The sequence below is a fragment of the Homo sapiens genome, chromosome 22, assembly GCF_000001405.40.
Source record: "Homo sapiens chromosome 22, GRCh38.p14 Primary Assembly".
Classification (NCBI taxonomy): domain Eukaryota; kingdom Metazoa; phylum Chordata; class Mammalia; order Primates; family Hominidae; genus Homo; species Homo sapiens.
Window position 1 is genome coordinate 28368861 of NC_000022.11, and position 14074 is coordinate 28382934.

General features: G+C 37.3%; 1 protein-coding gene across 11 annotated transcripts in view, besides 1 other annotated feature; it reads right to left on the reverse strand.

Moving 5' to 3' along the window:
* The window catches only part of TTC28 (tetratricopeptide repeat domain 28), a 701827-nt gene that overhangs the window by 390847 nt on the left and 296906 nt on the right, over nt 1–14074 (reverse strand). The gene's annotated exons all lie outside the window — the stretch shown is intronic.
* Nucleotides 1021–1315: a silencer, noted in NCBI's record as "tiled region #5107; HepG2 Repressive non-DNase unmatched - State 19:H4K20". NCBI's record gives its function as "represses a minimal TATA promoter and a strong SV40 promoter by Sharpr-MPRA in HepG2 cells {active_cell/tissue: HepG2}" and the evidence as "EXISTENCE:reporter gene assay evidence [ECO:0000049][PMID:27701403]".

The window sequence follows — 14074 nt, forward strand, 5'->3', positions numbered from 1 at the left end:
ACTATAAAACACTGATGAAAGAAACTGAAGAGGACACCAAAACATGGAAAAATATTCCATGTTCATGGATTATAAGAATCAATATTGTTAAAATGTCCATGGTGCCCAAAGGAATCTACGGATTCAATGTAATCCCTATCAAAATACCAATGGCATTCTTCACAGAAGTAGAAAAAAAAATCCTAAAATACCAATGGCATTCTTCACAGAAGTAGAAAAACAATCCTAAAATGTATATGGAATCAGAAAAGGCCCAGAATAGTTGAAGCTATCCTGAGCAAAAAGAACAAAACTGAAGGAATCACATACCAGACTTCAAATTACACTACAGAACTATAGTAACCAAAACAGCATGGTACTAGCATAGAGACACACAGACCAATGGAACAGAATAGAGAACCCAGAAACAAATCCATGCATCTACAATAAACTCATTTTCAACAAAGGTGCCAAGAACATACATTGGGGGAAAGGACAGTCTCATCAATAAATGATGCTGATAAATCATTAAACTATTGACTATAGTCTCCCTGTTGTATCATTAACATGTGTCAACTACAGAAATATTTGAAAAAGGTTGTCCACTGAATGATCAGTCATCATAACAAGTATTAGATTAGTAACAGGTCATTCAAAATAAAAGACTGGTGTTAAAATAGGAAGACTCCTTTCTTCATACAATCCACGTACTTCAGAGCATTGGTCATGTTTTTAAAATGAACTGGCAGATTCTTCAAAGATTCATGCTTCATTTAAAATATCTTTCATCACCTTAAAAAGAAATGTCAACACTACCAACTAGTTCATCTCCTTTCCTTAAATATAATAAACGTTTACAGAAGTAAACAAAATCTAGAGAACAAGTTGAATTTGATGTTACCATTTATATAGAACTCCCTTTTTTTAAAGGATTCACACAGCATGGTGAAAATTACTATCTATAAAAACTTTCAGAATAAATGTGTAAAATATATATATAAGAGTAATAGGAATATACAGTAGACATGAGATGAAATCATATATATGCTTCATTTTACATTAAGACTGAATCCTATCTGTAAATCAAAATGTATCCCTTCTGTTCTGAATATGCTCTTTGCATAAACCCCACCCTCTATATCCAAACCCTGCCTTATCGCCTCCCTCTGTATACCAGGAAGCCAACCTATACAGACAACTGCACTCTCTTGCTCTGTGGCTTTGGGTGGGGCTTAGCCAGTGAGAGGCACTGGCAAGAGTTAAGAATGCAAGGGGACAGAGAGCTATCAAAGTATTTACTCCCCATCCCTTTCCCAAGACGCCTTACTCCCTCCCTGCCTCACTGCAATTGTTTCAGTGGCTTCATTCCTCTGAAGCTACAGCTTCTATCACACAGTCCTTCTTAACAAGCTCTCATTAGACTTCAATCATACTATTTCCTCCTTTCTCCTTCTGACCTAGAGAAGGTGGTAACTGCTTCCTTGGTGGGTGAGCTAGTCCCAGATATCTTACCATCCTGTCACTTTCCTTAACCCTGCTCAAACCTCTATAAATAGCACCTTCATTATATTCTCCTCAGTTAAACCTCGAATTCCTACATACTGTATTTCTTTAAAGTGACATAATACCCATTTTGATAGGCAAATGAACATTTTACATAAAAACTATTCTATATCTTGTCCAATCTCATATTCTCCATCTATGTGAACTCTCACTGTAATACCAATGACTGAACATAGACCAATCTGCATATATGACTACATTTATAATAATATATTTATCCAAAGACTTCCCTGAAAAAAATTAAGACTTATCTCAGAAGAAAGGTAAAGATACAGAGAAGTAAAGACAGAAATAGTGAAAGAGAGTAGTAGAGAGAGAGACAGATGGAGACACCCATGGTTCAAGAAACACAGAGAAAGAGAGAACTATAGAGAGAGAAGGGAGTAAGAGAAAAGGAACACTACAAATCCTTGCTTTTCAATGTTGTCCCTGGCCCAGCAGCATTAGCGGTGCATGACTTTGTTAGAAGGCGGAAACTCAGGCCTTGCCCCAGATCTAATGAATCAGAATCCAACTTTTAAAGAATATCCCCAGGTGATTCAGGTGCACTTTAAAGTTTGAGAAGCACTGACACTACAGTTAACTCAAGGTCATAGTAACCATTATTAAAGCAGTGAAACTGTTGCTCCTACATACTAAGTCATGAGGTTCCAACACTTAGAAACCCAGGACACACTCTTCAACCTCAGGACAGGTAGCTTGCATGTCTGTACAGATTCAACCTAACTATCTTTGCTACCAGTTTTTTTCACAGTGGGGTCACATGTAAGGAGTTAGTAATAGAACCATTTGTTTCCATACAAATTTTCTTTCAAGAGTTCAGAAAACAGATTGGCCAGGCATGGTGGCTCATGGCTGTAGTCCCAGCACTTTGGGAGGCTGAGGCAGGCAGATCGCTTGAGCTCAGGATCAGCCTGGGCAACATGGCAAAACCCCAGTACTACCAAAAAAAAAAAAATTAGCTGGGCGTGGTGGCACTTGCCTGTAGTCCCAGCTACTGGGGAGGCTGAGGTGGGAGGATCACTTGAGCCAGGGAGGCAGAGGTCGCAATAAGCCCAGATTGCACCACTGCACTCCAGCCTGGGCAACAGAGTGAGACCCTGTCTCAAAAAAAAAAAAAAAAAAAAGAGTTCAGAAAACAGACAAGCCTGGGCAACATGGCAAAACCTCATCTTAACCAAAAAAAAAAAAAAAAATTTTTTTTTTTTTTGAGACAGAGTCTCACTCTGTCACCCAGGCCACTGATCTCAGCTCACTGCAACCTCTGCCTCCCAGGTTCAAGCGATTCTCTGCCTCAGCCTCCCGAATAGCTGGGATTACAGGCACCCATCACCATGCCCGGCTAATTTTTGAATTTTTTGTAGAGACGGGGTTTCACCATCTTGGCCAGGCTGGTCTTGAACTCCCGATCTCGTGATCCATCCACCACAGCCTCCCAAAGTGCTGGGATTACAGGCGTGAGCCACTGCACCCAGCCCCAAAAAAAAAAAAAATTTTTTTAATGAATTTTTTTTATTTTATTATTATTATACTTAAATTAGCCAGACGTGGTGGTGTGTGCCTGTAGTCCCAGCTATTCGGGAGGCTAAGGTGGGAGGATTGCTTGATCCCAGAGTTTCAGGCTGCAGTGTGCTGTGATTGTGCCCATGCACTCCAGCATGGATGACAGAACAAGACCCTGTTTCCCCCTACCACCTCCCCGCCTTAAAAAAGAGAGTCCAGCAAACAGGAAACCTTCAACAATGACAGATGATAGATTTAATCAGGTAACTCTGAATTGATCATCCACAGTTGGAAAACTTCTGAACAGCTACTACTAAAAACATCTAATTTCCTTTTTTAAAAAATTTAAGAGGTAGTACCCATCCCATGATGACATGTATTTAAGATATGCTTCATTTCAAATACAGAGTAAATATGTAGTAATTTCACTACAGGATATTTTTATTAAACAGCCACGCACATAATTACAGAACTTTCAGTGTAAAATTACTGCTGCTTTGAAACTGCAGCATTTCACTCACCCACATGGCAATGTTTTTCTTTCCCTACAGTCCCAGCCATGTTCCCTGAATCCTCCACCAGCTTCCATTTTCCCTCCGCACCTCCCTATTGTTCATAGTTTATCCTTTTTTTTTTTTTTTTAATTAGAAGGAAAGAGGTAGAAGACACTGATGTCTATTTGTTCCAAGATTACGCTCTTTGTTCTACACACTGGGTAACAATAATTGTTCCCAACTAAAGGGCCAGGCCAGGGACTCGTAGATGCTGATGGTCAGCTTTTCCTTCTCCTTTCTTCTCAATGAATCTCAATGGCCCCTAACCCCACCAACATGGCCCAGCTGGCAAACATCTAATGTGGGGGAAAGCAGCAAGATTTGTGCTGTAGGGGAATAAACACCGAAGTCAGGAGAATGGGGCCATAAACCACACACTGACTGACCAAATGACCTTGGACAAATCATTTCCAAACCTAGAAATGCCTCCAACAGTAAAATGTGGTTAGCTAAATCCCTTCCAGAACAGTGTATGTTTCTAGCTGAAGCTTGCATTTAGCTGAACCCCTCTTTTCTTCTAATATATAGCAAAGGGATGAGGGGCAAAGAAGGCCATAACAGCAGGTTAGAGGAGCAAAAAGAGCAAGAAAAGAGAAAATGAGAGAACAATGGATACAGGTGACCTCACCCCTAAAGATAACTTTATACCTTGGAAATATTGTCACATTATTCATTGGATCCTTTCATTTTTCAAATAAAAAATATTTAGCAAGCATACCAGGTACTATGCCAGATGTTCAAGATAGAGAGGAGATAAAAATATAAGGAAGGTTTTATTCCTGTTTTACAAATGTTGAAAAAAAAAAAAGCCTGGAGTTTGGCTTTCATTTTTACTCCTTCAGATACTTTATGAGGCCCTTCATATGGTACACAAAAGTTTAATTTCTTACAAGCATCCAGTGTTTTTTAAGAGATGACCAAATCAAGGGGAATATGCTAGGCTGCTTTGCTAATACAGTAACACTTACTATCCTAGGGGCTATTAGCAGAATTCATCTATTGGAGAAGAGATAGTGAAGAAGTTCAGAATCTACAGATTGCAACCACATCTTCAAAACTACCACTGTTCAACATATGCACTCACTAGATATTTTAATTATGAGCAAGTACCATTTAATGTAGATTTATCATCTAGAGTGATAGATTTTATAAACAAGCTTGTTTAGTAGGTAATTATGAAGACTATAATCATTAGCTAAGAAAATATATAAGAATACTACAAAATAACTATACGAAGTTTACAGAGTGATGTGACCAAAACTAGCTTCCGAAAATGACAGTAATCCTCTGTCAGTAATCACTGCCCCAAAGAAAGTTCTCTCTCTGTAAGGATACTACAGTATAGGCAAAAAACATAAAAAGCAGTTAAGGTATTTTGTTTTGTTTTGCTTCTGAAAGCAAACATGGAAGAACGAAGCCATTTTCAAAATAAGGACTATTTTTCAGAAAAAAATGGGAAACGTCCATCCTTTGAAACATCCTGCCTCCCTTCTTTGCTTTAAATTCCACATAAGCTATTTTGAGCTTACTGCTTTGATCAGATTTAGCTGTAAGTAACTATACTTAGTCATAGACATCTGATCTATAAATAGAATCTACTAGAGGAATTGCTATAACTTCCTTGAAATTGGCAAGTAGCAGTTCCATTTGATGTGATTCTAGGAAAGCTTTATACTGAAAAGAAAATGCAGTAAATTTACCTACAGAGAAGACATTTGCTTTCAAAATTACAATGTCTCAAGAGTAAATTTGCACATCCATGTTTTGAAGAAAGAATTGCCATTTAACAGTATCTTAAACAAACATGTATTAATTACTCAATAATCACCCTCAATTTGGGGAAGTAAACAGTAACAGAAAAATTATGTTTTTCCTTTCATAGATATCATGTAAATAATACCTATATATTGAATGCTCGCCACTAAGTGAAATACAAAGATAGGGTTCCTCATTATCCTTGCCTTGAAAAAATATAAAGTCCATTGTTGGTGAACAGTATGTAAATGTAGACACAAATAAAATAGTTCTCTGGGAAGCAATATGGGTAGTGTAAAGAACACTTAAACAGGAGTTCCCAAATCACTGATCTAGTTGTGACTCTGTCATTTACCAGCTATTTAGCCTTGAGTTCATTGCTTCTCTTCTCTGACTCTGTTTCCTCATTGGAAAATAGAGACAAAGATTCAGACATCAAAGTGATATACAAATATTAAGTTTTTTGTTTGTTTGTTTGTTTGTTTGAGATGGAGTCTCGCTCTGTCACCCAGGCTGGAGTGCAGTGGCACGATCTCGGCTCACTGCAACCTCCGCCTAGCAGGTTCGAGCGATTCTCCTGCCTCAGCCTCCCGAGTAGCTGGGATTGCAGGCTCCCACCACCATGCTCAGCTAATTTTTTTTTTAATATTTTTTTTAGTAGAGATGGGGTTTTGCCATGTTGGCCAGGCTGTTCATGAATGTAAGTTGCATATTAAAAAAAAAAGGTGCCAGGAGCAGTGGCTCATGCCTGTAATCTAAGCAACTCGGCAGGCTGAGGCGGGAGGATCGCCTGAGCCCAAGACTTCCAGGATGTAGTGAGCTATGATCCTGGCACTGCACTCCAGCCTGGATGGCAGAACAAGACTCAAGACTCTAATTCCTTAAATAATAAAAAAATAATAATAGAAGAAGAAAGAAAAGGCCACAAAAAAGAAAGGAAAGCATACCCTAGAAAGTTGGAGTTAGGGTCATTTCAGTTTTAGATCTCCGAAATGAACTTTAATATAAGTAAAGTTAATAATTACTACCATTTATTATGCCTGAACTACGTGACAGGCACTGTGCTGAAGGACTTCATATGCACTAACTTATTTAATTCTCTGAACAACCTTATAAAGTATGTGGTGGCATCTCATTTGTAAAACTGAGGATTAGAAAGAATAACTTTGCTGCAGATTAATAAAAGGGAAAGCAAGAACTTCAATCCAGACTGTGCTCCTAATTACTATACTATTCTGACCTAGAACTAAAACAAAATGGTTTTAAAGAAAATTACTGCCTTGTACATTATTTAGAGTATTAAGATTCATGTTTTAGCCCTGGTAAAAGTAAATAATTAGGAGAGGGGAGGAAAGGGTTAAAAACATTTCCACTAATAGCTCTTGCTTTTTAATACTTCTGTGATGGCTAATTTTAGGTGTCAATTTGACAAGATTACGGAATACCTAGAGAACTGTAAAGCATTACTTCTGGCTGTGTCTGTGAGGGTGTTTCCAGAGAATATTGGCAGGTAAGTCAGTGGACTGAGTAGGGAAGATCTGCCCTCAATGTGGGTGAACCATACAAATGGCTGCAGAACTGGAGAGAACAAAAAGGGAAAGAAAAGGATTTCCTGTTTCTCTCCAGGAAGTGGGATAGTCCCTTCCTCCTGTCCTAGGACATCAGAACTCCAGGTTCTATAGCCTTGGAATTCCAGGACTTACTTACACCAGTGCCCCTTAGGTTCTTAGGCCTTTAGCCTTGGACTGAGTATTATTACACCATTGGCTGCCCTGGTTCTAAGGCTGGTTCAGACTTGGACTGAACTACACTACCAGCATCCAAGGGTCTCCAGCTTGCAGACTGCCTGTCATGAGACTTCTTGGCCCCCATAATCTCATGAGCCAATTCCCCTAACAAATCCCTTCTCATCTATCTTCATACCTACCTACCTATCTACCTTTCTATCTACTATTGGTTGTGTCTCCCTGGAGAACCCTAATATAAATCAGAGACAGTGAGCCAAAATGAAATAAATTGGCTCCTGATCCTAGTTGCTCAGACTGGTGTAAGCTATGCTCTCCTCTTTTTTGTGCCAACAATATATTGAGCAACTAACATTTACTGAGCATTCAGCATGTGCCAGGAACTATACTAAGTGCTTTGTGTGTATTATCTTATTCAATCTTCACAAACTCAGAGTATTATCTTCATTTTATAGATGAGTAAACTTGAACATAAGGAGATTAAATAACTTACTTAAATTCTGCTTCTGGCAAGATGGAGTAACAGGGCAAGATTAACATACCTAATAACTTAAACAACTATAAAATTCAGGAAAAATATATAAAAAAATAAATCTTCAGACATTGGACAAGGGGCAACAAAGGACAATAATCCTGAGAGAAGGGGAAAAAAGGGGTAAGCCCTACCTCTAAGTGCACTGCCTAGAGAGTTTTCAGGCTCCAGCTCTGGGAAGGGGAAGCAAAGAAGAGCCCACTGGTCTTAGTTGGGAAGGCAGAGTTGAGAGCTCAGAGAAGCCAAAGTGCCTAGAGTTCACAAGGCAAAATACTGGAATGGAGACAGCTGCACTGAGAGAAAACTGTAGAGATCCTCAGAGAGTGCCCCGACCTGACGTCTTCAGCTGAGAACCAATCAGCACATCCAGGTGAGAAAACTACCCAAGGCTGAGGAAAGAAGCACCAGAAAGAAACAGGCAGAACACTCTCCAGAGCTCATAGAAACAGGAATGGTCTTCTCACAAGCCAGAGTGAAAAAAACCTTGTCATACATAGGACACAATAAATTCTAAAGTAAAAACACAAACCCATGTAATACATAGGACGTAACAGATTCTAAAGTTAAAAAAAAAACATGTAATACACAGGACATAATAGATTCTAAAGTAAAAAAACCCATGTAATACATAGGACTAGGACATAATAGATTCTAAAGTAAAAAACCAAACAAAACCTTGTAATACATAGGACATAATATATTGTAAAGTAAAAAAAAAAAAAAAACCATGTAATACATGGGACTAGGACATAATATATTCTAAAGTTAAAAAAAAAAAAACCTTGTAATACATAGGACATAATACAAAGGAATTCCTGGGCTCAAGCAATCCTCCTACCTCAGCCTCCCTAGTTGAGATTACAGGCATGAGCCACTGCTTCTGGTGCCTTTTTTTTTTTAATATTCAACTTTCTTTACAATATTTATATATCACTTTATAGAATTTGTGTCTGAATCTTTGTCTCTATTTTCCAGTGAGGAAACAGAGTCAGAGAAGAGAAGTAATAAACTCAAGGCTAAGCAGCTGGTAAATGACAGAGCCACAACTAGATCAGTGATTGGGGAACTCCTGTTTAAGTGTTCTTTACACTACCCATATTGCTTCCCAGTGAAAACTCTTCCCAGTATTCCCTCAATAGTGAGGCAAAATTAACGTAGACCAAAGGCTACTCTGGTCCTAACAAACATTAAAAGCAAGTCTGAAAAGGATCAAACCATCTCCAAGTAACTTAACAGCAACAAAGCTCCACAACAAAATTCAAAAATATTTCATATATATAAGAATATCTAGCATTCAACAAGGTAAAATTCACAATGTCTGGCAGGCATGCAAATAAGGAAAATAAAGCCCATAAAGAGGAGAATAATAAACCAATAAAAATGAAACTAGAAATGACATAGGTTAGTAGACAAGGATATTGTCTCCTAAAACAGTTATTATAACAATATTCTATATGTTCAAGAAGCTAGAAAAAAACACGAGCATGCTAAGGAAAGATTGGAAGACATTTTTCAAAAAGACACAAAGCAAAAAAAATGCAATGTCTCACATTTAAAAATGCAGAGGGGGCCAGGTGAGGTGGCTCACGCCTATAATCCCAGCACCTGGGGAGGGCCAAGGTGGGCAGATTATTCAAGGCCAGGAGTTCAATACCAGCCTAGCCAACATGGCAAAACTCTGTCTCTACTAAAAAATACAAGAACATTAGCCAGGCATGGTGGTGCACACCTGTAATCTCAGCTGCTTGGGAGGCTGAGGCATGAGAATAGCTTGAACCTGGGAGGCGGAGGTTGCAGTGAGCCAAGATCTCACCACTGCACTCCAATCTAGGATACAGAGTGAGACTCTGTCTCAAAAAAAAAAAAAAAAAAGCTAAAAACCAGAGGAGCTGGGCACAGTGGCTCATGCCTGTAATCTCAGCACTATGGGAGGCCAAGGTGGTAGGATCTTTGAGCCCAGGAGTTTGAGACCAGCCTGGGCAACATAGGGAGACCCCATCTCTACAAAACAATTAGCCAGGCATGGTGGCATGAACCTCCCAGATACTAGGGTGGCTGAGGCAGGAGGATCACCTGACCCCAGAGGTTGGGGCTGCAATGAGTTATGACTGCCACCACACTCTACCATGAGCAATAGAGCAAGATTCTGTGTCAAAAAAACAACAACAAAAAAAAAAGCAGAGAGAGAGAGAATAGGATTAATAGCAAATTAGAAACCAAAATAGATTAGTAGATTTGAAGATATACCAATTGAAACAATTTAAAATAAAGCAGGACAGTGTTTTCATAGAGAACCAGTGAGCCAGGAGCAAGTTCAAGCAGCCGAATATACAAGTAATTGAAGTCTCCAAAGGAGAAGAGAGACAGGAGAGGGCAAAAAAATATATTTGAGAAAATAAGACCTGAAAATGTTCTAGGTTTAATAACTGTTATTGCTTAAATAAAAATTAATAAAAACTATACCAAGACACATCATAATCAATTTTTTAAATACATTAATAAAGAAAAAATCTTAAAAGCAGCCAGAAAAAAATACAGATTTTACAGAGAGAAAGCTAAAAATGACAGCTAACTTCTCACTAGAAACAATATGAGACAGGTAAGTGGAGCAACATCTCTAAATTTCTGAAAGAAATCTCTAGACCTAGTGAAAATATTTTTCAAACATCTAAGCAAAAAAAATATATAATTTCAGACATATAAAAGCTGATTTGGAAACAGTGTGATGGTTCCTTGAAAATTAAAAATAGAAGTTATCATATGACTCAGCAATTCTACCTATGGCTATATACCCAAAATAACTGAAAGCAGGGACTCAGACATATATTTGAATACCCATGTTCAAAGCTGCCTTATTCACAATAACCAAAGGGTGGAGGCAACCCAAGTTTCTATTGAAGAATACATAAACAAAATGTGATATATACATATAATGGAATATTATTCAGTTTTCAAAAGAAAGGAAAATATGGCACACACTACAGCATAGATGAACCTTGAGGACATTATGCTAAATGAAACAAGCTAGTCATAAAAAAGACAAATACTGTATAATTCCACTTATATGAGGTAGCTAGAATAGTCAAGTTCATAAAGACAGAAAGTAGAATGGTAGTTGCCAGAAGTTGAGGGGAGGGGGAAATGGAGAGTTGTTTAATGAGTACCAAGTTTCAGTTTTGCAAGATGAAGAGTTGTGGAGATTAGTTGCACAACAATGTGAATACATTTAACACTGCTGAACTACACACTTAAAAATGGTTACAATGGTAAATTTTATGTTATGTGTATTTTATCACAATTGGAAATAAATAAAAAGATTTTTTTAATGTGAAAGACTTCAGCAACAGCAGGCCTTCACTACAAGAAATGTTACAGAAAAGACTGACAAAATCATGTATCAGAAGTGACTTAAGGAGATAGGACAATTAAATGCAATGTGGAATCCTGGATTACATCTTAGGACAGAACAAGGACATCCACGGGAAAACTAGAGAAATTTGTACGGGCTACAATTTAGTCAATAATACTGTATCTGTGTTAATTACACTATGCTTCTTCAAAACGTTAACATTAAAGAAAGCTAGGTGAAGGGTATACAGGAAATCTCTGTTCTAGTTTTGCAACATTTCTGTAAATCTAGTATTATTTCAAAATAAAAAGCTCAAAAAAGAAGAAGAAAGCCTGACTAGCATAGCACTTCCGACAAGAGCTGAAAGCCCCACTGTTAATATAGGTGAATAAACTCCAAGATGAGCACATTTTAGGTCTAACTCATAGGAGAGAGAAGCAATTGTGTTTTGTCTGTTTGTTTTAATTAAACAAGAATATACAGGATAATAAGGGCAACAGACAATGCTGGAAACTATTAAAACTCACAGCCTACATATAACAAAATCAAAAATCTCTTTCTCAAAGCTGTGACACATGTGACAGTGAAACAAATCCCAAAATAATCCAACAAATGTAGGAATTTAAGTGTATAAAACATATCAGAGGAATTAAGAATAAGGAACATGCTAATAAAGGACTGGTTTGTGTAATTCTTATGTTGGGTACAAAATCCAGTCTCTTATAATCAATCCTTTATGCTGATGAATAATAATTTTCTGGATCAATTTCCATAAGAAAAAAGCATGTTTTTTCTTCTACTGTTCCTGTCCATTGACATGCAAATATTTCAATCTGAAGAGGCAGTTTTATGGAACAAAAAGCATGAAACTGAAATTACTATTTGTTGATCAGCTACCTTGTTCCAGGTACTGTTCTAAATGCTTTATACATGGATTATCTGATAATCTATTTAATCCCTACAACAAACCTAAGCAGGATGTGCTATTATCACTATTTTTACAGATGAGTGCTTGTGTTGGATCTTCCACTATGTCACTGGAAAAGTTTACAGGAATCATAACCTCTCTAGGACTTAGGAAATTAACACCTATAAAATTTTACTTCTAGCATTTATTTTATGCCTGCTGTTTTGCCTTACCTACTATGAATTCCTACAGGAAGGGGCGGTATTCATCTTGGTATTAGACACATACATGTACTAGGTTTACAGTTGTTAAAAGAGAAAATGTCAGTAGGGAGGCTGAACTAGAAAAACAAGCCACTGAGGTTTCTCACATTTCCATCACATTCTCAAAAAAAAAAAAAAGAAAAGAAAAAAAAGTGTCAGGAGACCCAGTAGAAGGAATAGACTGGAAATGAGGAATTTGAGGTCTGCCCCCAGCTCTACTGATTGGCAATTTGGCCTTAGGCAACTCACAGATTTCTCTCTAAGATTCTCAACCAGTCCAATAGAAATTATAGTACCTGCCCTTGATTCAGCAGATTATTGAGAGGAATGAATAAGCCTACCTTAGAGGCTTCTTGCAAACCTAAAAGAGATAAAATGTGTGACGCTCCTGGTATAAGATCAATGCTCAATGATAGCAGTTCCCTCCCTTCCAACAAGTATTCAAGGACGGAGCTTCCCTATTAGTAGATGGTGCCTTCCTGTCTGCTGCATTTTAGTAACCTGGCATTTTTACTCTGATGATATTTTTTGTGGTATCCTACAAATGTTAGTATAGAGAATGATTCATCATGTAAACTAAAATCACTGCTCGCAAGTAACTGCAAACTGCAAATTACAGGGAGAACAGAGGTTTAAAAATGTACTTTAAAATAATAAAAACTCAAGAGAAGTCACTTAATCCAGTATTTTATTGGAAATTGGACCAACTCCAATTCTCTTAAGGGTACCACAGTTTGGTAACCAGATGTTAATACTGTTCTTCTGCCAAAGAAAACTGCAAGATTTAAAGGGTATTTTTTCCTTTAAGAATTATGTTCTATTTATATTTCCAAAACATATATTTCTCTGATAATGCAATAGATTAGAGTAAAATCTAATTGAAGTATCTCTTCAATCTCCATGCTACTCTAAGATATATTTGAGGTGCACTGGGCACTGGAAGAGAAAGTGCCAATTCCTCGGCAAATAGGCTAAAGGGTAAAATGGACAACAGTAGATAGCTAGCCCAACATTCAGATTTACAACTAAAAGACAAGCATTGTGGAAGCAGCCCAAACCCAATAGTAGAACTTAATTATTCCATTGTAACTAGCAACATGAGCCTCATTAAGGGATGGGAACAGTAGTCATGAAGAAATGTGACTGTTGGTAAGATCCAAGCTGTCAAAAGAAATAAAGTAAACCCTCATCCAAACCAACCAAATTTCAAAGTAAAGTAAATTCTCTGTATTTTTCCCTCAAGATACAAATATAAGTATACTAATCTACAGTATCATAATAAAAATTATGACAACTATACCAAGAGCATTTTATTATTCTCTATTAGACTTGGCAAGAGCTCTGAGCTGCTTTCTCCACATCATCACTTGAGTATTCCCTGGGCCTCAAAGCTGTTTCTGATATAAATGAAGCACAGCAAATATGATATTCACCTTGTAACATATTCAAAGTGTAGATAACAGAGATTTGATTCTTTGGCAGCATTATCCATGGACTTGACCTTTGGTAACTGTTCACAAATTAATCAGTTATCCAATACAAGTAAATGATCAAATGAACAGAAAAGCTAAAATGCAACAACATTAGATCAAATCCACATCTTCTGTGTAAACACCTTCAACATACTATCTTAATTATCAAAAGAAATAAAAGCTAAAAAGCACAACACTAGACCAAATTGACATCCAAGTGGCTACAGCAAGTAGCTATAGTAGTATAAAATAAAGTAGACTGCAAAACAAAAGTAGAACCAGAGATAAAGAGGGACATTTACAATTATAAAGGGGCAAATTCAACAGAAAGACATATCATCATAAATATGTATGTATGCACCTAATAACAGAACTTCAAAATGTATGAAACTATTTGTACCACCACTATTTGGTCTCCCACTTTCTTGAACCACCTTCACCTAAATTCCTCT